Below are 24,658 nucleotides of genomic sequence, written 5' to 3' on the forward strand. Positions count from 1 at the left end.
CCTCCCGGGTTCACGCCATTGTCCTGCCTCAGCCTCCCGAGCAGCTGGGACTACAAGTACCCGCCACCATGCCCGGCTAATTCCTTTTGTATTTTTAATAGAGACGGGGTTTCACCATGTTCACCAGGATGGTCTCGATCTCCTGACCTCGTGATCCACCCGCCTCGGCCTCCCAAAGTGCTGGGATTACAGGCGTGAGCCACCGCACCCGACCCAGAGAATATTTTTAATTAAAGGTGAAAAACTCAGATGTAAATCTTGCATTTCCAGCCTCTTATAAATTTGTGATATAATTAATATTGCCTAAAGTCATACTTCAAGGGAAATAACATTTTGCTAACTGTAGTATTAAACTTTTCTAATGATATTTTATTTCTTCTAATGTTTCTTCTAAAGACCTGAACAATGTTTTGGTTATATACTACATTATATATACCAGAATCATTTATCTTTAATGTAACCTATGTGATTTCTGGCTCCCTAAAATAGCATTATGCATTTTCTGAGTTAACCAAAATAAAATCTAGAAAGAGCTAAACTGTAATCTACCATGATCGGAGTGTAAAATCCTTTACTATGCAAATCTGCCCACTGTTTAAAACAGTAAAAAAAAAAAAAAAAAAAAATTTAACATGAACCCAAAGGACACAGATGTTCTTTCAAATTGCTGGTATCAATGAACATAAAATTAATCCCACTACCAACCCACAAGAGACGTGGGTGTTTACTGTAAAGTTGCAAATCTCAACCAGATCTTTCATCCAGGAAAAAAGCCTTTATTACGGTTTTTCTTATACGTAATACAGTGATTTAAACTAATGCTTTCAGATCCTGAGAGGTTTTTTTTTTTTTTAGAAAAAAAGCATTATATTTTGAAGACACACAAACTAATCTTACTCTAGTAAAGAAGCTTTATTAATTCTAATTAACAAATTTCACTCAAAAAGGAAGTGTATTCGAATCAAGTACTTTATTAGAGGGGAAAAATATTCAAAAAGAATAGAAGCAAGAATTATCTGGTTTTTGTTGTAAGCCCATACTATTCAAATACAATTCAGAAGCAGAATTTTTAACTTCTCAAAAGTTCCCTAATAAAAGAAAGCTATTTTAACAAAAAAAACACTAAGATACATTTTTTAAAACCAAAAGTATACCACAAAGTTAGCATGAGGAGTATGGGAAAAACCCACCTCAGATTTATTAACAATGTCCAAACGGAAAACTGGATGTGCTTTCCCCAAATATAACTGATAAAATTCCCACAAGAACACTAGTATAACAGGTGGAGTGGATATTCCAAAACCAAAATATGTTAATTATAGTATCTCACATTCCATGATAAGCATTCAAGGACACCTGGTAATTAAAGGAATTATGAGAAACAACTGAGTACCTTAAGGCCTGTTCAGTTACAAAAGAAAAAAAAAATTCTGCAATAATAATAATCCTTTACACTTGGATAGCACTTTGCAATTTTCACGATACCTTATGACAAAACACTTTATAATAGAGTTGTTTTATGAAGTTAGTGCATACGCACACAACGTACTTTAGTCCTAGAGTTCATATACCAACCACATCAAATTATAACAGCACGCACAAAGATAAGCGGCACTTCAAATTTTACTAATGTCATTGTGGCTGATCATCACTTTATTCAGAAATGGTCCGTTACAATCCTCTTCCGTAGAGTTTGACTCTCTTTAAAGTCTATGCTGGACAGGGCATCTTCCTGGGTCCCTAGCTTTGGGGGAGGGTAATTCCTGCCAGGAAGCTGGTTCCACCAGTCCTGCTGTAGCTGCTGTCTGCCCTCCAGGACCAAGAAAGGACAGGTATTCTCAGTACATTATCCAGCTCTTCTTAAGAGGACAACCAGTAAAGGCTTCCCAAGGTGTTCCTACAGTTCTCCCTCAACTCCTAGGAAAACAAAGGTTCAGGCCCAGCTCTGTCACTTCGTATTCCGTTCTTGATAATATAGGTACTCCATAAGCCCCAGCCCACAGTCATCTGGCAGAGGATGGAGTGGAGGACATAATACCCAAGATACCCAAGGGGCTGCAAGGTAAAGGGTGGGTAGCAGAGAATTCAGCCAACTCTTAAGTTGCCGCTTGCGAAACGCAGCTAGCCCATCAGGTCTCCTTCGAAGGGGGAAGGTACGCAATTCAGAATGTGAGAATGAGAAACCCGGGACGCCGGGCATACAACAGGGATGGGAGGACTGCATAGAGAAGCCAACGGGCCGGCCAGCCCGAAGGGCGGAGATCGCTGCTGGGGGCGGCGGTGCCCAGCGGGTCAGAGCCGTGGGGCTGGCGAGGACCCCAGGCCGCGTTCGCCCGACAGGCTCCCCGGCGAGGTTTCAAACCGCCGCCCCCGCGAGGCGCTCAGCCGATTGGAAGTTCCACAACGACCGTCACTACCCAGGGCCGGAGCGGCAACTCCGCAGCGGAGCTCTGCCTGCCCGCTGCGTTCCCCCAAGAGACTAGACCCCACAAACTCCTCCTCCACCGCGGTCCCAACTCGAGTCCCCCCGCCGTCTCCGAGCACTCGGAGGGCGCCCCTCTGGGACGGGACCGACGCCTCGGACCGGGCTGCGCCGCGGGAGTTCGAGGTACGCGACGGGGCCGCGCGGGGGAGGCGGGCGGAACGGGCGCCCCTCGGAGTCGGTGTCCGGACGCAACCCCGCGACCCCCTCCGCCTCGCCCCTCGGGCACGGCCCGACTGGGATCCGACCCACCCATCCCGCCAGGTCGCGGGCAGGGCGAGGACCCGAGCGAGCCTACTCCTCCCGCCCCTGCTCTTACCCATCTTTCCGCCTCGCCTTGTAGACGTGACCGTAGGTGCCGCGTCCCACTTTGCACCCTTCGTACTCAAACAAATCCTCCACCCGCTCCCGCTCCGCCGCCAGCTTCGCCTTGAAATCATAATCCATTGTCTGCTTCCCCCATAGAGGCACGGGACGCGGGGGCCGCCGCCGCTCAGTCCCTCCTCCTCCTCCCCCCGCGACCGCCGCTCCACTTCTCCAACAGCCGCCTCTCGCGCGCGCGCGCGCGCCGCCCGCCGCCCGCCGCTCCGCGGTCCGCCTTCAGCAAGGGACTCCTCGGCGGCCACAGCAGCCACCTCCTCCACCTCTTCCTCCTCCTCCTCCGCGACGGCGGCGGCGGCTCCCGCAGGCACCCCCAGTCCCGCCTCCCTCCTTCATTTCCTTGTTTTGGAACCTGGTGGGCCGCGCCGTGGCTTCCTCGAGCTCATTAGCGAACTCACTGGCCCGCCCCATGGTCGCGGAGGCTCCTGGGAAATGAAGTCGCGAAGGCCTCAGCGGCCTGGGCGGTTTTGCCGGCGTAAGAAATACAGCTCCCAGGTTACCTCGGGCCACCACAGCCTCGCCCCCACAAAGCATGCGCGCCTGCGTACCAGGGCCGCCCCTCCCCCTCAGGTAGCGCACGGCTCCCGGTTCCTGTGAAGGTAGAAAGCTCGAAGTTCCAGTGTGCTTTCTGCGGTTCTCGGGGAGACACTGGAAAGAAGTGCCTTACTCTAGTGGGAAGGGGATACTTCACTGTAACTAGCCCCACGCAGAGAGTATGGAAAGCATTAAATCAGCACCTTGCTGAAGGGTTGGCTGCAGTGACTCGGGAGGCGAGGGCTGGTGAGGACAGTTGTACCGCAGCTTGTTTCTTTTCTAGGGCAGTGGGTCCGCCTATTGCCCCGCCCCCCGTCCCGCTGCTCATTGGCGGGGGCTGGAGAATGACGTCCTCGTTGGTGCGTGGGTATCCCCAGGCTTTGGCTTCTTTCCCGCTCTTGATTGGTGATTGGATGTGCTCGGTTCTTCCTGATAGGTTGATCTTTTTTCTTTACGATGCAAAAACCGTATTTCAAAAACTGAACCTTCAGCAGTTTCCTAGAGCCTGCCTTGGCCAGAGGAGAACATGCAACTTCTGAGCCCCAGCAGCCAATCATCATTTTCTTGGCGCTGTAGTCAGCTTTCTCTTAGCATATGCGGTTCCCATAACCAGGCTTTGGCCATCTGTCTAAGGACAATTAAAAGTGCCTGGAGGAAGCCGCGTTTACGATCCTTTGGGTTGAATTGTAAAGGATTTTTTATGGTCTATGCATGATGTGAGGTTCTAGAATGTTTAAGAAAGCCCCTTTAGTTAGGGTGAACGTTGATTGATTTCATTGTGTTGGGGCTCAGGACACACTACCCCAAATTATAACTGAAGGAGTCCAGAATATGCCACCCCAAAATACGCCACTCTGGCATATTGATGTCTTTTAGCAAAATAAATTAAGATCCAGCCAACACAGGAAAATGCTTCACTTATCCCACTACTGCCTAAAATAAAGAATAACTCTTCCTTTGTAAAGAGAAATTTACATTTCTAAAGGAAATTTTCGTAATTAAAGGAATCTTACCAGAAAGAGAGCTGCTGCTAGTCAACTTGTATCATCTGAGATACTTTTATCTGCATAAAAGTCAACCTTTATTCACCTTAGACATTTTTTCCTCTTATCCTCTCTTAACTTGTCTCCACCACTCCTGGAAGCCCCAAACCCCACTTTTGTTTTGAAGAGACTGGCCTTGCTGTGTTGCCCAGGCTGGCGTCCAACTCCTGAGCTCAAGGATCCTCCTGCCTCAGACTCCTGAGTAGCTGGGATTACAGGTCCGTGCCACCATGCCGGGCCCCACTTCCTTTTTGAGGTCAGGATGTAATATAAGTGTCAAACATCTGGCCCTTCTTTGAGTCTCATATTTTGTGGGACTCTTGTGCATACATACGTAATTAAAACTTTTTCTCCTGTTAACCTGACTGGTATCAATTTAGTTTATAGACCAGCTGAAGAACCTAAGAGGGTTTCCTCCCCTGTAATGGTGAGCCTAATGTCCCAAATGTTTGGGATACACACTTAAACATGATTGGTGCTAGGATAGGACATAACACATTCATTAGGAGGACAAAGAAGGGAATTGTCAATTCTACCCAAAGTGGTAGATAAGGAAAGAATAGTGAACTGCCTGCTAGGTTTTGAAAGAAACTTGGAAAACTAGTGGGAGGGGGAATGATTTACCTTATTTGCTACATCACCCACTCCTGGAAAACTTCCTTAGACCTTGAGTCTCTTCAGGCTGGGTGCAGTGGCTCACACCTGTAATCCCAGCACTTTGGGAGGCCAAGGCGGGTGGATCACGAGGTCTGGAGTTCAAGACCAGCCTGGCCAAGACAGTGAAACCCTGCCTCTTATTAAAAATGCAAAAATTAGCCAGGTGTGGTAGCATGTGTCTGTAGTCCCATTTACTCGGGAGGCTGAGGCAGGAGAATCCCTTGAACCCGGGAGGCAGAAGTTGCAGTGAGCTGAGACCATGCCACTGCACTCCAGCCTGGGCAACAGAGCAAGACCCCGACTCAAAAAAAAATGGTATCTTTAATCAAGAAAAATCTCAGTTGCTCTTGTTGCCATGCACTATAATAACTGCTGGAGATAGCAGGAAAAAAATTAGTCTTTTTCCATTGGGGAATTAAACCTGAAAAAACAAATATGCAAGCAAATTAAAAATAAACTGTGGTTTAAAAGAGCACTGGTAGAATAGGCGGGGTTCTAAGTGAGTCAGGGTAGACTTCATGAAGTAGGTAGGTTTGAGCCAAATTTTTTTTTCACTCCAGCCCCATCTGCTGAGTGAGAGCCAAAATTTAAAGCATGAGTAAGCCTTTACTTGAAGGACAAGTCGAAGAGCAAGAAACAAGGAATTATTTCAGGTAGAACAGCATGTACATAAATCATGAGAGAACATCATATATTCTGAGAAATGCAACTAGTTTGAATATTACAGATTAAGACAGGAAAAAGTAATGGATAAGAAAATACTAAACAGATAAGCAGAGGTCAAATTATGAAAAGCTATTTATGTCAGGGAGAGGTTTTAGGTTTCATTATTCTGTCGACCTAAAAGGAAAAAGCTGGGGCAAAATTAATATAAGTAGAGAGTTTATTTGAGCCAAGCTTTAGAATTGCAACCCAGGAGTATAGATACAAGTTGCCCTGAATGTACACTCCAATCAGGAGCAGTTGCAAGTAGATTTTTAAAGGCAAAAAAAGGGGGATAGGAAGTGGGCTCAAAGTTGTTTGTGAGGAATTCTCATTGGTTTACAGGAATAACATTGATTAATGAATGAGCTATACATTGTTAAGATATAGGGTGTGGGTTATAGCATCTGGTGCAGCATTATTGGATTAATTTGTAGCTACTTGTGGCAATAGCAAGCATTTCAGGAGATGAATACATAGCTCAAGGGGAAAGTATCACCTGATTCCAGTATCTTATTTATATATATATTTATTTATTTATTTATTTATTTTGAGACAGAGTCTTGCTCTGTCACCCAGGCTGGAATGCTGTGGCGCGATCTCACCTCACTGCAGTCTCTGCCTCCTGGGTTCTAGTGATTCTCCTGTCTCAGCCTCCTGTGTAGCTGGGATTACAGGCATGTGCCACCAAGCCCAACTAATTGTATTTTTAGTAGAGACAGGGTTTTGCCATGTTGGCCAGGCTGGTCTTGAACTCCTGGCATCAAGTGATCCGCCCACCTTGGCCTCCCAAAGTGTTGGGATTATAGGCGCGAGCCTAATTCCTGTATTATTTTAATGTCTCTCTGTGCCTTATAATTTAAAAGGCCTCACATTCCTCAAATGAAAGTTTTTTTCTTTTCTCAATTCTGTAGGCAATAGGAAGCTATTACACACTTTTGAGCTAAGGAGAACTATAATCAGCCCTGAGTATTAAGCAAATTCTCTGACAAAAGTGTTCAGGTTCAATTGGAGGAAGGTGAGACTAGCAAAGAAGCTATTGCAATAGGACGGTAAAAACAACGATCTGGGCCGGGTGCAGTGGCTCATGGCTGTAATCCCACCACTTTGGGAGGCCGAGGTGGGCGGATCACCTCAGTCCAGGAGTTTGAGACCAGCCTAATCAACACGGAGAAACCCCGTCTCTACTACAAATACAAAATGAGCCGGGCGTGGTGGCGCATGCCTGTAATCCCAGCTACTCAGGAGGCTGAGGCAGGAGAATCACTTGAACCTGGGAGGCAGAGGTTGCAGTGAGCCAAGATTGCACCATTGCACTCCAGCCTGGGCAACAAGATCGAAACTCTGTTTCAAAACAAACTAACAAACAAAAAACAAGGATCTGAACCACGGAAGAGCAGCACTATAAGAAAAAAGCACATACTATAATTATTTAGGAGTAAAATTTAACAAGACTTAGTAATTAATTAAATGTGGGACTAAAGGAGAGGGAAGAATCCAAGATAACTTTGAGAATTTTGACTTCAGCAATATGGTAGAAATTTCAGAAAGTTAGGAAACACAGGAATGGGAGCAATTTTTGAGAGAAAGATAAGCTTGGTTGGGGCATGTCGAATTGGAAGTACCTATGGGGGCATCAAGATAGAAATAACTGTCAGGCATTTGAACCACAGTGACTCCATCTTGAATAGGGTAGAATAAGGCTGAGACCTGCTGTGCTGCATTCCCAGGAAGCTAGGTGTTTTTAGTCACATGGTGAAATAGGAAGCCTGCACAAGATACAGATCATAAAGACTCCACTGATAAGATGCAGTAAAGAAGCTAGACAAAACCCACCAAAACCAGGATGGTGACCTCTGGTCTACTCACTGACCCCTGGTCTCCTTGTTGCCCATTATATGTTAGTTATAATGCATTAGCATGCATTATAGGAGACATCCTACCAGTGCCATGACAGTTTACAAATGCCATAGCAACTTGAGAAGTTACCCTATAGAGTCTAAAAAGGGGAGAAGCCCTCAATTCTGGGAAATCCCCATGTCTTTCCCAGAAAACTTGTGAATAATCCACCCCTTGTTTATCATGTAACCAAGAAATAACTGTAAGTATACTCAGTGGAGCAGCCCATATCTCTGCTCTGCCTATGGAGTAGCCATTCTTTTGTTTACTTCTCCAGTAAACTTGCTTTCACTTTACTCTATGGACGCACCCCAAATTCTTTCTTTCTTTCTTTCTTTTTTTTTTTTTGAGATGGACTTTTGCTCTTGTTGCCCAGGCTGGAGCGCAATGGTGCGATCTTGGCTCACCACGACCTCCACCTCCCAGGTTCAAGCGATTCTCCTGCCTCAGCCTCCCAGGTAGCTGGGATTATAGGCATGCACTCGCATGCCCGCCTAATTTTGTATTTTCAGTAGAGATGGGGTTTCTCCATGTTCATCAGGCTGGTCTCCAACTCCCGACCTCCAGGTGAGCTGCCTGCCTTGGCCTCCCAAAGTGCTGGGATTACAGGCATGAGCTACCACACCCGGCTGGTAGTAAATCGTTTTTAGGGGAAATGAGTGGGCCCAATGCTCACAAAATGGTTAGTAAATGATTATCATTAGAAACTAAATGGGCCAAGCGTGGTGGCTGATGCCTGTAATCCCAGCACTTTGGGAGGCCAAGGTGGGCAGATCACTTGAAGTCAAGAGCTGGAGACCAGCCTGGCCAGCACGGTGAAACCCCCATCTTTACTAAAAATACAAAAATTAGCAGGGCATGGTGGTGCATGCCTATAATCCCAGCTACTTGGGAGGCTGAGGCAGGAGAATCACTTGAACCCGGGAGGCAGAGGTTACAGTTAGCTGAGATCGTGCCACAGCAAGATCGTGCCACAGCACTCCAGCCTGGGCAACAGGGCAAGACTCCGTCTCAAAAATAAATAAATAAAATAAGAAACTAAATGGGACCAGACAACAGAACATAGTGTGGGACAAAGTTCATCTGGTCTCTACTGTGGTGTTTAATTTTCAGTGTCTTCCTTTGTGATATGAGTTTTAATCTTCGCTGGTTAATGAAATTCCAGGGAGAGAATTAAAAGTTGTGTTCTTCTACAGCAGTTTCAGTTTCTATGTAGATAAGAGAACTTCAGAGAATAGCCTCATCCTGTGCTTTGGGAGGAACAGAGGATTGAGAAATGGTGGCGGCATGGAGGCAGCAGCTGGAGGCTGCTGCTTTAGTTCAACATGCCAAAGTGCCATATTTTGGAGTTCTGTTTTCTGAGACCCAACATGTTCTATTTTTCCCATTTACATATAAACACACTGAGACAAGCCGGGCACAGTGGCTCACGCCTGTAATCCCAGCACTTTGGGAGGCCGAGGCGGGTGGATCACTAGGTCAAGAGTTCAAGACCAGCCTGGCCAAGAGACCACCCTAGTCAACATGGTGAAACCCCGTCTCTACTAAAAACACAAAAATTAGCCGAGTGTGGTGGCGGGCACCTGTAATCCCAGCTACTTGGGAGGCTGAGGCGGGAGAATCACTTGAACCCAGGAGGCAGAGGTTGCAGTGAGCCAAGATCATGCCGTTGCACTCCAGCCTGGGAGACGAGCAAAACTCCATCTAAAAAAAGAAGAAGAAGAAAGAAAAGAAAAAATCTGCAATAAAAGAAAAATGTAATGCTTTTAACAGTTTGTTCAAGTTAAAAGGAAAGGTGGGTGTGGGCAATGGAATGAGACCTTGTCTCAAAATAAAATAAAATAAAATTATTTGAAATGAATAATAGTGACATAAGTTATCAAATATCAAAACCTTTGGGATACAGCAAAAGCAGTTCTGAGAGGAAAGTTTTTAGTGCTAAATGCCTACATCAAAAAGTCTGAAAGGTCACAAATTGACAACCTAACATCATACCTCCAGGAAATAGAGATACAAGAATAAACCAAACCCGAAGCTAGCAGAAGAGCAGAAATAACAAAGATCAGAGCAGAACTAAATGAAATTGAAAGAAAAATACAAAAGATCAATGAAACAGGTGTTTCCTTGAAAACATAAACAAAATCAATATTCCATTAGCTAGAATAACCAAGAAAATAAGAGAGAAGGCCTGGCACAGTGGCTCACTCCTGTAATCCCAGCACTTTGGGAGGCCAAGGTGGCAGTGAGCCGAGATCACACCACTACACTGTAGCCTGGGCAGAAAGGGAAAAAAACAGGAAAATAGAAGATTCAAATAAGCTCAATTAGAAATGAAAATGGAGACATTACAACTAACACCACAGAAATACAAAAGATCATTTGAGACTGCTATGAACAACTCTGTGCACACAAACTAGAAAGCCTAGAGGAAATAGATAAATTCCTGGAAATATACAACACTCCTAGTTTGAATGAGAAAGAAATAGAAATCCTGAACAGACCAATAACAAGCAGTGAGATTGCCAAGAAAAAAAAAGCCCAGGCCAGAAAGATTCACAGCCAAATTCTAGCAGACATTCTTGGTACCAATCCTACTGAACCAATTCCAAAAGATTGTGAAAGAAGGAATCTTCCCCAACTCATTCTATGAAGCCAGTATCACTCTGATACCAAAGCCAGGAAAGGACATTTTAAAAAAAAGAAATCTTATCCTATTTAAAAAAACAATGAAATCTATAGACAAATATCCCTGATGAACATAGATGCAAAAATCCTCAACAACATATAGCAAACTAAATCTAATAGCACATCAAAAAGATAATTCTCCATGACCAAGTGGGTTTCAGCCCAGGGATGCAGGAATGGTTCAATATACACAAGTCAATAGATGTGATTCACCACAGAAACAGAATTAAAAACAAAAACCAGACTGGGCACAGTGGCTCATGCCTGTAATCCTAGAACTTTGGGAGGCTGAGGCAGGCAGATCACCTGGAGGTCGGGAGTTCAAGACCGGCCTGACCAATATGGAGAAACCCTGTCTCTACTAAAAATACAAAAGTTAGCTGGGCGTAGTGGCGCATGCCTGTAATCCCAGTACTCAGGAGGCTGAGGCAGGAAAATCACTTGAACCCAGGAGGTGGAGGTTGTGGCGAGCCGAGATTGTACCATTGCACTCCAGCCTGGGCAACAAAAGCAAAACTCTGTCTCAAAAAAAAGCATACAATTATCTCAATAGATGCAGAAGAAGCATTTTCTAAAATCCAACATCTCTTTATGATAAAAACCCTCAAAAAACTAGGCATAGAAGGAACATACCTCAAAATAATAAAAGCCATATATGATAAACCCACAGCCAACATCACACTGAATGGGGAAGAGTTGAAAGCATTTCCCCTGAGAGCTGGAACAAGACAAGAATGCCCACTTTCACTTCTTCTACTCAACGTAGTACTGGAAGTACTAACCAGATCCATCAGGCAAGAGAAAGGAATGAAAGGCATCCGAATTGGAAAAGAGAAAGTCAGACTATCTCTGTTTGCTATTGATATGATTGTATACCTAGAAAACTCCAAAAGACTCCTAGTTTGATAAATGAATTCAGTGAAGTCTCAGGCTACAAAATAAATGCACACAAATCAGTAGCAGTCCTATACAGCAACAATGATCAAGCTGAGAACAAATCAAGAACTCAAGAAAAAGAATTTTCTTCTGTTACCTTTAGGTTTGGTTTATTCTTGTATCTCTAGTTCCTTGAGAGCTAGAGATGTGTTTTAGAAAAGAACTCAATGCCTAAACTAAACTATTTAATAGGGTGTCTTTTCCCTATTGGGTTCTTTTCTAGAAGAACTCAATCCCTTTTACAATATCTGAAAAAAATAAAATAACTAGGAATATATTTAACCAAGGAAGTGAGAGATCTCAACAACAGAACTACAAAACATTGCTGAAATAAATCATAGATGACACAAACAAATGGAAATACATCTCATGCTCACAGATTAGAAGAATCAAGACAATGAAAATAATGTGGTGAAAAGGGAATGCTTATACACTGCTGGTGGGAATGTAAATTAGTACAACCTCTATGGAAAACAGTATGGAGAATTCTCAAAGAACTAAAAGTAGATGTACCATTCAATCCAACAATTCCTGTACTGAGTATCTACCCAAAGGAAAATAAGTTATTATATCAAAAAGACACCTGCATGCCTATGTCTATCACAGCATAATTCACAATTACAAAGATATGGAACCAACCTAAGTACCCATCAACCAACCAATGAATAGATAAGGAAAAGGTGGTATATATACGCCATGGAATACCACTCATTCATAAAAAAGAATGAAATACTGTCTTTTGAGGAACTTGGATGGGGCTGGAGGCCATTATTCTAAGTGAAGTAACTCAGGAATGGAAAACCAAAATACTGTATGTTCCCACTTACAAGTAGGGCTAAGCTATGGGTACACAAAGGCATAAAGAGTGATATAATGGACACTGGAGACTCAGAAAAGGGAGGGTGAGAGAGGATTAAGAGATAAAAAATGACATATTGGGTACAATGCATACTACTTGAGTGACCAGTGCACTAAAATCTCAGACATCTCCACTATACTATTCACCAATGTAACCAAAAGCCACTTGTATCCTAAAAACTATTGAAATTTTTAAAATGTATGTTTTTAAAAAAGTTATTTAATGAAACCAAATTATTTTAATAAATGATAGATTTAAAGTTTTTGGTAACATTCAAACATCATAGCTTAAGGCAAAAAAATAAAAATTAAATTTTATAAAGAGCATAAAGTTTTTGGTAACAAAAAAAAGCACTGAAGGTAAGGGCAAAGGGCTTGAGGAAAGAAACAATGGCTTTGGTATGTTTCTTGGAAAGTAAGTAGAGTGAACATGAGAGCTAACTTTTATTGAATCCTAGGCATACGTTAGCTAATATAAGCCTCATAGCTGCCCTATGAGGAAGGTATGTTTTATCTCCTTTTTACCTATATGAAAACTGAGGCTCCAGGAGGATAATTTTGTAGTTTTATGGTTAGACAGTGATAGGATTTAACCTCAGGTCTGTAAGACTATAGAGGGCAAAGACTGCAATACCCAGTATAGTAGTCCCACCTTGTCCTTGGGGGATACACACCAAGACCCCCTGAAGCCCAGATAGTACTGATCTTCAAATACATATACACACACTGCTTTTTCCTATACATGCATACCTATGATTATAAGGTTTCATTGATAAATTAGGAACAGTTAAGAGATAAACAAGAGTAACTGATAATAAAATACAATTATCACAATGTCGTATAACAGAAATTATATGAATGTGGTCCTCTTTCTCTTCATCTCTCTCTTTCTCTTAACATCTTATTGTTCTGTATTATGGGTAACTAGTAACTAATTGAAACCATGGAAATCAAAGCTGTGGATAAGAGGAGACTATTGTATCGATTTTGCCATTTATCAAGATCAAATGATCCCACTGAAACATTCCATCCTCTTTGTCTTAAATCTTACTTTGTATATGTTAAACCACCTCTGCTTTCTTTTTTCCATATTTGATTGATAGTCATTTTTACCCCTTCTCCATGTATGCAAGAGTCACGGGGCTTATGAAATGCAGAGAACATGTAGGTACCACTGCCACTGCCATTGACATGTTCATTGCCTCAGTAAGTATAAGAGGGCTTCCTTGCCTTTACGCTTTCTAGTCTGCCAGTAACAGTTATCTAGTCAATCAGATTTCAGAGCATTTGCTGCCAAGTAAAAACCTGTTACTCTTCCAGGAGTGATATTCAGACTACTTAAACATTGATTAAAAGTCTGAGAACAAAGCTCCCTTAAATAAGGATGATTTAGGCTTGAAGAGTGTTCAGAAAACAGATTCTAGTCTACTTAGTACAGAGCTGCTGTCAGGACAGCTGAGGAGTAGGACTGGGAGGCAGTGGGATTAAAAATCAGACATCTAGACAGGCACAGTGGCTCACACCTGTAATCCCAACATTTTGGGAGACTAAGGTGGAAGAATTGCTTGAGACGGGAGTTTGAGACCAGCCTGGGCAACAGAGTAAGACCCCGTCTCTACAAAAAAATTATAAAATTAGACAGGCATGGTGAATGGCCCTGTGATCCTAGTTACTCAGGAGGCTGAGGTAGGAGGATCACTTTAGCCTAGGAGTTCGAGGCTGCAGGGAGCTATGATCACACTACTGCACTCCAGCCTGGGCAACAGAGACCCTGTCTCATTAAAAAAAAAAAAAAAAAAATCGCTTGAACCCGGGAGGTGGAGGTTGCAGTGAGCTGAGATTGCACCACTGCACTCCAGCCTGGGCAACAGAGGGAGACACCATCCCAAAAAAAAAAAAAAAAAAAAAAAAGAATCAAACTTCTCTCTGTAGGATGAGGATGCAGCCCAGACTAAGGAAGGGTTGCCCGCCTCCTTCTGATAGGGTATGAGAAGGGCTTGATTGATGCCTGTGTCAGTTTCCTCAGGCTGCTGTGACAAATTGCCACAAACTGGGTGGCTTTAAACAACAGGAACTGATTAGCTCACAGTCCTGGAGGCCAGAAGTCTGAAATCAAGATGTCTGGAGGGCCATGATCTCTCTGAAGCCCACAGGGGAGAATCCTTCTGTGCAGATTCCAGGTTCTGGTGTTGCCTGAAAGCCTCGGCAGTCCTTGCTTTATGGCAGCATAACTCAAATCTCTGTCTCCACATGGCCGTCTTCCCTCTGTATTTGTGTAAACAAACTTCCCTTTTCTTTTCTTTCTTTTTTTTTTTTTTTTTGTGAGACGGAGTTTCACTCTTGTTGGCCCAGGCTGGAGTGCAGTGGCGAAATCCCGGCTCACTGCAACCCCCGCCTCCCAGGTTCAAGCAATTCTCCTGCCTCAGCCTCCTGTGTAGCTGGGATTACAGGTGCCCACCACCAGACCTGGCTAATTTTTGTATTCTTAGTAGCGACAGGGTTTCACCATATTGGCCAGGCTTGTCTCTAACTCCTGACCTCAGATGATCCACCTGACTCGGCCTCCCAGAGTGCTGGGATTACAGGCCTGAGCCACTGCACCAGGCCCAAACTTCCCTCTTCTCATTCCACAGACACTAGTCATAATGGATTTAGGGCCCTCACTAGTCCAGCATAACCTCATTTTAACTTGAGTACATCTGCAAATAGCCTATTTCAAAATAAAGGTCACATTCACAGGTTCCAGGTAAACATAAATTTTACGGGAACAGCATTTAACCCAAAGCTGTGTCCAAACTTTGACTCTGTTACTGAATGAGGGGCCATCCTGAAAAAGCCATTCAGTGGGAATTGGAGGGCATCTTTGATATCCATGGACAGGACTTTCTTATTCATATTTTTCTTTCTTTTTTTTTTTCAGTTTTTTTTGTTTGTTTGTTTTTTAAGGTGGGTTTCACTGTGTTGCCCAAGCTTGTTTCTAACTCCTGGGCTCAAGCAATCCTCCCACCTCAGCCTCCCAAAGTGCTAAGTTTACAGGCATGAGCCACTGCACTGGGACCTCATGTTTTCTTTCTATAAAGGAGAGTCTAACTACAAGAGGCCGGGTGTGGTGGCTCACGCCTGTAATGCCAGCACTTTGGGAGGCCAAGGTGGGTGGATCACCTGGCGTCAGGAGTTTGAGACCAGCCTGGCCAACATGGTGAAACCCCGTCTCTACTAAAAAGGCAAAAACTAGTCAGGCGTGGTGGGGGGCACCTGTAGTCCCAGCTGCTTGGGAGGTTGAGGCAGGAGAATTGCTTGAACCTGGGAGAAGGAGGTTGCAGTGAGCTGAGATCGTGCCACTGCACTCCAGCCTGGGCCACAAAAGCAAAACTCCATCTCAAAAAAAAAAAAAAAAACACTACGAGAATGTTGCTAAAACACACCCTCTCCATCTTTTAGTGGTATTACTCTACTCTGATGGTGAAAGCATAACATGTTAGACAAATTTCATTCTTAAACATTAGGTTAGTGTTTTCTGTCAACAGATTATAAGAACTTTTATTGTTTTTATTGTCATTTTTTTCCTAAATCGTGTGTGGAAAAATATTGAATGTCTTCAAATGTATAATACACACAGTAACACAATAAGCTACAAAACAAAAACAAAGTTGATTAACCCACTATCAAGCTGATGTTAATTTCACAGAGCTTGGGCATTTTAATTTTTATTCAGAAAAGAGATTTTGAAGTGAACTATGGGATGATTTTAAAAAAGAGAGGCTGGCCAGGCCCGGTGGCTCACGTCTGTAATTCCAAAACTTTGGGAGGCCAAGGTGGGCAGATCACTTGAGGCCAGTAGTTCAAGACCAGCCTGGCCAACATGGCGAAACCCCGTCTCTGCTAAAAATACAAAAATTAGCCGGGTATGGGTGGCAGGCACCTGTAATTCCACCTACTCGGGAGGCTGAGGCAGGAGAGAATCGCTTCAACCCAGAGGCAGAGGTTGCAGTGAGCTAAGATCACGCCATTGCACTCCAGCCTGGGGGACAAGAGTGGAACTCTGTCTCAAAAAAAAAAGAAAGAAAGAAAAGAAAAGAAAAAGAAAAAGAAACCTGCAATAAAAGAAAAATGTGATGGTTTTAACAGTTTGTCCAAGTCTAAAGGAAAGGTGGGTGTGCCCAGCATCAACGGATTAGTCATGAGGAGAACTGAGCTGCAAATCTTGCAAGTCAGGTTCACTGCATATGTGATGGGAATACTAAGCAAAATTATGACTATATTTAAATGCTTATGCCCTTCATCATAAGTTTATGAGCAATGTGGAAGTCAAATTTGAATCTGGAGGTAAAATTTCTCTTACCACAGTCTAATCTAGATCAGGGAAATTTACTGAAGAGATTTACCAAGCTGTTTGCTCATGGTCTAAGGTGAGCTCAGGATCATCTCCTTCAGGAAGTCTTCTCTTACCTCCCCTCAACTAGGTTGGGTGCCTTTCATCTGTCCTGCTGTTAAAGCCCTATGCTGGCTGGGCGCGGTGGTTCACGCCTGTAATCCCAGCACTTTGGGAGGCCAAGGCGTGCAGATAACAAAGTCAGGAGTTCAAGACCACCCTGGCCAACATGGTGAAACCCTGTCTCTACTAAAAATACAAAAATTAGCCAGGCATGGTGGCAGGTGCCTGTAATCCCAGCTACTTGGGAGGCTGAGGCAGGAGAATCATTTGAACCTGACAGGCGGAGGTTGCAGTGAGCCGAGATCACACCATTGCACTCCAGCCTGGGCGACAAGAACAAAACTCCGTCTCAAACAAACAACCCCTGTGCCGACCTCTTTACAGTTGTGCCTGGCCTGAGTATAGAATCCTAAGTGAAAAATGAATTTTCGGCTGAGTGCAGTGGCTCACACCTGCAATCCCAACACTTTGGGAGGCTGAGGCAGGCGGATCCCTTGAGCCCAGGACTTCGAGAACAGCCTGGGCAACATGACAAAACTCTATCTCTACCAAAAAAAAAAAAAAATTAACCGGACATCGGCCGGGCATGGTGGCTCATGCCTGTAATCCCAGCAGTTTGGGAGGCTGAGGCGGGCAGATCACGAGGTCAGGAGATCGAGACCATCCTGGCTAACACATCTCTACTAAAAATACAAAAAAATTAGCCAGGCGAGGTGGCAGGTGCCTGTAGTCCCAGCTACTCGGGAGGCTGAGGCAGGAGAATGGCGTGAACCCAGGAGGCAGAGCTTGCAGTGAGCTGAGATCGTGCCACTGCACTCCAGCCTGGGCGACAGAGGGAGACTCTGTCTCAAAAAATAATAATAATAATAATTAAAAATTAACCAGGCATGGTGGCACGAGCCTGTAGTCCCAGCTACTTGAGAGGCTGAGGTAGGAGAATCACTTGAGCCTGGGAAGTTGAGGCTACGGTGAGTCATGATTGCGCCACTGCACTCTAGCCTGCATGACAGAGTGAGACCCTGTCTCAAAAATAAATAAATAATAAATAAATTAATTTTTCTGAGAACCCTGAAGGCTTTAATCCAGTATTTTCTAACATTCAGTGGCTCAGACGTGTTGTAAATCTGTTTAACCTCACTTTAAGTGTCCTATTTTTCCCATAGAAATGTTAAGGATCTTTGTTTTTGTTTGTGTGTTTGTTTGTTTGTTTTTTTGAGACAGAGTCTGGCTCTGTCACCAGGCTGGAGTGCAGTGGCGCGATCTCGGCTCACTGCAACCTCCACCTCCTGGGTTCAAGTGATTCTCCTGCCTCAGCCTCCTGAGTAGCTGGGACTACAGGGGCACGCCACCATACCCAGCTAATTTTTTTGTATTTTTATTAGAGATGGGGTTTCACCATGTTGGCCAGGATGGTCTTGTGGCCTGACCTCATGATCCGCCCACCTGAGCCTCCCAAAGTGCTGGGATTACAGGCATGAGCCACCGTGCCCGGCCAGGATCTATTTTTTGTTTGTTTCGAGACAGGATCTCACTTTGCTGCCCAAGCTGGAGTGCCACTCAGGTCGGAGGCAGGACTCAACTCCAGACCAGATGGAAGACTGGCTAAAACAAGGAAGAAGTACCAAAAGCATTCCTCCATAAGACATGCCTACCAGCACAATGGCAGTTTACCATTGCCATGGCAATACCCAGAAGTTACCACTGCTTTTCTGAAAATTTCTAAATAACCTGCCCCTTAATTTGCATGTGATTAAAACTGGGTATAAATATGACTGCAGAACTGCCCCTGAGCTGCTACTCTGGGCACACTGTCTATGGGGTAGCCCTGTTCCGCAAGGAGCAGTACCTCTGCTGCTGCTATACACTACCGCTTCAGTAAAAGCTGCTGTCTAACACCACCAGCTTGCCCTCGAATTCTTTCCTGGGCAAAGACAAGAACTATCCCAGGCTAAGCCCCAGTTTGGGGCTCATCTGCTCTGCGTCATCAATGCCTGATGGTAGTTCATTGCAGCCTTGACCTCCTGGGCTCAAGCAATTCTCCCACCTCAGACTCCCCAGTAGCTGGGAGTACAGGCACATACCACCATGCCTGGCTAATTTTTATTTTTAATTTTTTTGTAGAGATGGCATTTCACTATGTTGCCCAGGCTGAGGATTCTTTAATCTTGGAGACTTAATGTTTCACAAGCATGTGTCTGGGTGTGGGTATTTTTAATTCGTTTTGCTCTGTTATTTTCTCTGATATTTACTTTCTTTCTCTCCATGATCATTACTTTACTACTCAATTTTGCAACTCTTTTGAGGACTCTCATTTTTATTTTTTGAAATGTATTTTTATGGCCAGGTGCAGTGGTTCACGCCTGTAATCCCAACACTTCAGGAGGCCAAGGCGGGCAGATCACGAAGTCAGGAGTTCAAGACCAGTCTGGCCAACATAGTGAAACCCCATCTCTACTAAAAATACAAAAAATTAGCCAGGCGTGGTGGCAGGCACCTGTAATCCCAGCTACTCAGGAGGCTGAGGCAGGAGAATGGCTTGAACTCGGGAGGCAGAGATTGCAGTGAGCGGAGACCGTGGCATTGTACTCCAACCTGGGCGACAGTGCAAGACTCCGTCTCAAAAAAAAAAAAAAAGTATTTTTATTATTTTTTGTTTATAGACACAGGGTCTCACTATGTTGCCCAGACTGGTCTCTAACTCTTGGGCTCAAGCAATCCTCCCACTTTCACCTTCCGAAGTGCCGGGATTATAGGCATGAACCACCACGCCCAGCCTTGAGGACTCTCATTAGTCAAAGGTTGGACCTCTTTGATTCTTAAGGCCTCTTGTCAATTCCATCTTTCACTTTCCTCTGAGGAGCCAATGTTTGCATTGGGAACCTTAGCATTTCTCGTCTTACAACACCACTCCTGTTTTCAGCTTGATGCTAAATGTCTAATGGCTTTGCTTTGACAACACTTTTCCCATAGGGGAAATGGAGTGGATAAGAGAAAATCAACTGTTTTATATGCAATTCTTTTTTTAATTTATTTATTTTTTTTTAGACAGGGTCACAGTTTGTCACCCAGGCTGAAGTGCAATGGCATTATCACAGCTGACTGCAACCTCAAACTCCCAGGCTCAAGCGATCCTCCCACCTCAGCCTCCCAAGTAGCTGGGACTACAGGTGCAAGCCACTATGCCTGGCTAATTTTTTTTTTTTTTTTTTTTGAGATGGAGTTTCTCTCTGTCGCCCAGGCTGGAGTGCAGTGGCAGGATCTCGGCTCACTGCAACCTCCGCCTCCCCAGGTTCAAGCGATTCTTCTGCCTCAGCCTCCTGAACTACAGGCGCATGCCACCACACCTGGCTAATTTTTTTGTATTTTTAGTAGAGACAGGGTTTTACCATATTGGCCAGGGTGGTCTTGAACTCCTGACCGCATGATCCACCTGCTTTAGCCCCCCAAAGTGCTGGGATTACAGGCATGAGCCACCGTGCCCAGCCCATGCCTGGCTAATTTTTTAATTTTTTGTAGAGATGAAGTCTCACTATGTTTCCAAAGCTGGTCTCAAACTCCTGGACTCAAGTAATCCTCCCACCTTAGCCTCCCATTGTGCTGAGATAACAGGCATGAGCCACCACACCTGGCCTACATGCAATTCTTCAATTGATGTCCCAACTCTGAAGTCTATTCCTGCACTCCCTCCTGTGCCAACTCTGATAGCCCCAGAACTTCTCAGAGGCCTGTGACAAACCACCTGCATCTCTCCAACCTTGTAGACAAGACCTATAGCTGCCTATACGCTACTACAAACCTATCAGCAGTGTTATAGACATAATTTGTCTTTATTTTTATTTACTTTTTAAATTTTAACTTATCACCACTCAGAATAGTAATTTTTAAAAGCTCATCCTCTAGTGTTCTCACTCTTAGATTACCCCTCTTTGTACTTCTGAATCTATTTCAGTGATACCTTGAGAAACACAGGAAATGTTTGTTCCATCCACTTTTTGTTTTTTAGGTTTTGTTTTGTTTTTGAGACAGAGATTCACTCTGTCACCCAGGCTGGAGAGCAGTGGCACGATGTCGGCTCACTGCAACTTCTGCCTCCCAGGTTCAAGTGATTCTCCTGCCTCAGCCTCCAAAGTAGCTGGGATTACAGGCGCCCACCACCACGCCTGGCCAATTTTTGTATTTTCAGTAGAGATGGGGTTTCGCCATGTTGGCCAGGCTGGTCTCAAACTCCTGGCCTCAGGTGATCCACCTGCCTCGTCCTCCCAAAGTGCTGGGATTATAGGCGTGAGCCACCGTGCCCGGCTGATCCACCTATTTTTAACCAGAAGCAAGAATCACAGTATAAAGGCAAAGGCTATGTCTATTTCATTCACCAAGAAATACATAGTGCCTAGCAGTTTACAGTACTCCATAGACATTCATAATTTGTGAAATAAAAGAATGCTTCAGTTGTCCAGAGTATTTTCCTGCTCTGATTTACCTTCTACAATGGCCAAGAGAATGTGGTGATAGAATTGGGATATAGCACTAGTTTTGATGATGCAAATACATCCAGAAAAATTAAACAAAAATGATTGTATGTACCAGGGGGAAAAAAAGAACACTTCAGGTAGACTAATTCCAAGAGCCAGTTAAACTGAAATGGAAACTAGGAGCCATGATCAGTAAGTCTGGAGAAAGAATTGCAATGTGCCTATTAAATATTCTCAGGAATAGTTTAGTTTAAAATCTTCTCAGTGACTTTATTATTTATTTCTCTATAAGTATAACTCAGCATATATACCTATATACTTTTATAAAAATTAATTTGATTAATTAAAGTTGTTTTTTAAAACAAAACTCACATAGTAGACTAACTCCTCTTAAACTCTTTGGCCTTTGCTTTTCTTTACCCTCTTAAAAGCTGAAGAATAAAGGCAGGGCACAGAGGCTCACGCCTATAATCCCAGCACTTTGGGAGGCTGAGGGAGGAGGATTGTTTGAGCTCAGGAGTTCGAGACCAGCCTGGGCAACATAGTGAGATCCTGTCTCTATGAAAAGAAATAACGATAATAAATAAAAATATAATATCAAAGACTTGTGGAACGTAAGAACTCTTGCTTATGTGGTTTATAGTTATCAGTATTTCGTGTATGAGGAAAAACAATTTTTTTTTTTTAGACTGTCACCCAGGCTGGAGTGCAGTGATGCAAACATGGCTTACTGCAGCCTGGACTTCCCGGGCTCAAGTAATCCTCCTGTGTAGCTGGGACCACAGGCGCCAGCCATCATGCCCAGCCAATTTGTCTGGTTTTTTTGTAGAGACGAAGTCTCACTTTGTTGCCTAGGCTGGTTGATAATTTTTTTGTTAATTATTAATTATTCAGAAATAACAAGGCCATACATGATAACTCATGCCTATAATCTCAGCACTTTGGGAGGCTGAAGTGGGAGGATCGCTTGTGCCCCGGAGTCCCAGGCTGCAGTGAACTATGATCACGCCACTGCACTCCAGCCTGAGTGACAGAGTAAAACCTCATCTCCTAAAAAATAATAATAATATTCTAGCATGTTTATATGAAAATAATTGTGCTTTCCAAAACAGAAATAAAAATAGTGAGAAATGTGTCATTGTTTTACATCTCTATATCAAATGTATAGACTACAGGTAGATTTCCTTATCTGCTTCTGCAGTCATTCTATTGCAATATGTTGTTTTGGTTAAGTATACATTTTTTTAAATCTCACTGAGTGTGGGGGCTTATGCCTATACTCCCAGCACTTTGGAAGGCCAAGGCAGGAAGATTGCTTGAGCTCAGGAGTTCAAGATCAGTTTGGGCAACATAGTGAGATCCCTGCATCCACCAAAAAAAAATCTGGCGGCCAGGCACTGTGGCTCACGTCTGTAATCCCAGCACTTTGGGAAGCCGAGGAGGGCAGATCACAAGGTCAAGAGATCAAGACCATCCTGGCCAACGTGGTGAAACCCCAGCTAATACAAAAATTAGCTGGGTGTGGTGGTGCATGCCTGTAATCCCAGCTACTTGGGAGGCTGAGGCAGGAGAATCACTTCAACCCAGGAGGTGGAGGTTGCAGTGAGCCAAGATCGCCCCACTGCACTCCAGCCTGGTGACAGAGAGAGACTCCATCCAAAAAAAAAAAAAATCTATAGTTAGAAAAGGGAAGGGCATTTTAATAGCCTTTTCAGATAATTATGCGGATACTATTTTTTTTTTTTTTTGAGACAGAGTCTCACTCTGTCGCCCAGGCTGGAGTGCAGTGGCACGATCTTGGCTCACTGCAAGTTCTGCCTCCTGGGTTCACACCATTCTCCTGCCTCAGCCTCCCAAGTAGCTGGGACTACAGGCGCCCGCCACCACGCCCGGCTAATTTTTTGTATTTTTAGTAGAGACGGGGTTTCACCGTATTAGCCAGGATGGTCTCAATCTCCTGACCTCGTGATCCGCCCGCCTCAGCCTCCCAAAGTGCTGGGATTACAGGCATGAGCCACCGCACCCGGCCTGTGGATACTATTATATGATACTACATAAAAACTCAACAAGTGCTGTGTTTCCCAAAAGTTAGTTATAATGTGGAATCTGAAACTATAGTAATGAAGTTTTTATATTTAGTTACTTTAAAATCCGTTGGTCTATCCTACACTTTGAATGAATCTTTTTCTTAATTTGTAGCATCAGACATCAGACATTTGTCATTGGAAAATATTGTGTTTCACTGAGTCATGCAGATCTTCCAAATCTTGGCAAATTCTATTATTTAAAAAATCAGGCCGGGCGCAGTGGTTCACGCCTGTAATCCCAGCACTTTGGGAGGCCAAGGCGGGCAGATCACCTGAGGTCAGGAGTTCGAGACCAGCCTGGCCAACATGGTGAAATTATGTCTCTATTAAAGTACAAAAATTAGCTGGGCATGGTGGCAGGCACCTGTAATCCCAGCTACTCAAGAGGCTGAGGCAGGAGAATCGCTTGAACCCAGGAGGCAGAGGTTGCAGTGAGCCGAGATCATCCCACTGTACTTCAGCCTGGGCAACAAGAGCAAGACTCCATCCCCCCACCCCACCCCCCAAAAAAAATCAGTCCCAGCTACTTGGGAGGCTGAGGCAGGAGGATCACTTGAGCCCAGAAAGGCTGAGGCTGCAGGGAGCCGTGATTGCGCCACTGCACTCCAGCCTGGGCAACAGACCAAGACCTTGACTCAAAAAAAAAAAAAAAAAAAAAAAAATCACTGAAGCTAGCTCGGTTTTCATTAAAGATTGGGAAATTGAACAATGTTATATATTCTCAAAGGGAAGATAAACCTATATAATCTTTCCTGAAGGCAATCTGGCAATAGGAATACAAAAATATCCCTTTTGACCTAACAGTTCCACTTTGAGAAGTCTTAAGAAAGTAATTAGACAAGTGTGCAAAGATACATGAACAACAACAAAAAATCAATGCTCATCTTTGGAGGTGTTAAAAAAATTTATGTATGATGTTGGCTATGACTGTTTTTATCATAAAAAATAGAAATAAATAAATAATAATATAACCTTTCAGTGGGCTACACTGGAGCCATGTAACAGAATGTTGTAGATCTAGTTTGTGTTGATGGAAAAAGATGTTCATTTATATTGTGAAGTTAAAAAAAATACTACACAACAGTATATAGATAACAGAGTCACTAAATACTGGAATATAAAAAATTTGACAAAATATTTTCATTTAGAGTATTTCCCAAACATTTCTGATCATTTATTTTTGTTTCAAGCTCTTAGGAAATTCACAGGAAACTTCTATGCTAATATTTTCTTTCTAAAATCTTAATAAAACATAAGTAAGACACAATTGGCTTGTTTTGTTTATTTGTTTTTTGTTTTTGTTTTTGTTTTTAGTTAAGAAAACCTTTTTGTACTTTTCTCTGTCCTGACCAAGGTTGTTTGTTTTGTTAGGTTTTTTAATGTACTTGTATTTATTTATTTTACTGGAAATGAACCTAGTGGGAATAGCGAGTTGAGATTATTTATAGGCTGGTGAAGAGTTGGTCTCTGTTGATAGATATGAAACAATG

General features: G+C 43.7%; 2 protein-coding genes across 12 annotated transcripts in view, besides 5 other annotated features; one reads left to right on the forward strand and one right to left on the reverse strand.

Moving 5' to 3' along the window:
- CDK19 (cyclin dependent kinase 19) overlaps positions 1–3,648 on the reverse strand; it is a 205,878-nt gene extending 202,230 nt beyond the window's left edge. For 5 of the 11 annotated variants that reach the window (XM_047418469.1, NM_001300960.2, NM_015076.5 and 2 more), the window contains exon 1: positions 2,802–3,262. In XM_047418469.1, coding sequence (XP_047274425.1) covers positions 2,802–2,929 — 128 coding nt within the window. In that variant the 5' untranslated portion in view covers positions 2,930–3,262. Of the gene's footprint in view, positions 1–2,801; positions 3,263–3,363; positions 3,431–3,600 lie in introns of those variants that run through there. The other 6 variants (XM_047418470.1, NM_001300964.2, XM_011535630.3 and 3 more) reach the window with 3 other exon arrangements.
- Positions 2,013–2,122: an enhancer, noted in NCBI's record as "active region_24937". NCBI's record gives its function as "activates an Ori minimal core promoter by ATAC-STARR-seq in GM12878 lymphoblastoid cells {active_cell/tissue: GM12878}" and the evidence as "EXISTENCE:reporter gene assay evidence [ECO:0000049][PMID:35858748]".
- Positions 2,357–2,909: an enhancer, noted in NCBI's record as "H3K27ac hESC enhancer chr6:111135767-111136319 (GRCh37/hg19 assembly coordinates)". NCBI's record gives its function as "activates a minimal SCP1, AML or CMV promoter by ChIP-STARR-seq in naive H9 embryonic stem cells {active_cell/tissue: H9 hESC(naive)}" and the evidence as "EXISTENCE:reporter gene assay evidence [ECO:0000049][PMID:30033119]".
- Positions 2,410–24,658, forward strand: part of AMD1 (adenosylmethionine decarboxylase 1) — an 81,097-nt gene continuing 58,848 nt past the window's right edge. Inside the window, exon 1 of the mRNA NM_001287215.2 lies at positions 2,410–2,608. The gene's annotated coding sequence lies outside the window, so the exon portion shown is untranslated. The remainder of the gene's footprint in view (positions 2,609–24,658) is intronic.
- Positions 2,533–2,842: a silencer, noted in NCBI's record as "silent region_17468". NCBI's record gives its function as "represses an Ori minimal core promoter by ATAC-STARR-seq in GM12878 lymphoblastoid cells {active_cell/tissue: GM12878}" and the evidence as "EXISTENCE:reporter gene assay evidence [ECO:0000049][PMID:35858748]".
- Positions 3,483–3,562: an enhancer, noted in NCBI's record as "active region_24938". NCBI's record gives its function as "activates an Ori minimal core promoter by ATAC-STARR-seq in GM12878 lymphoblastoid cells {active_cell/tissue: GM12878}" and the evidence as "EXISTENCE:reporter gene assay evidence [ECO:0000049][PMID:35858748]".
- Positions 14,206–14,406: a silencer, noted in NCBI's record as "peak6028 fragment used in MPRA reporter construct". NCBI's record gives its function as "represses an SCP1 promoter by STARR-seq MPRAs in K562 erythroleukemia cells {active_cell/tissue: K562}" and the evidence as "EXISTENCE:reporter gene assay evidence [ECO:0000049][PMID:32103011]".

This window comes from Homo sapiens, chromosome 6, assembly GCF_000001405.40.
Source record: "Homo sapiens chromosome 6, GRCh38.p14 Primary Assembly".
In the NCBI taxonomy this organism is placed as follows: Eukaryota; Metazoa; Chordata; class Mammalia; order Primates; family Hominidae; genus Homo; species Homo sapiens.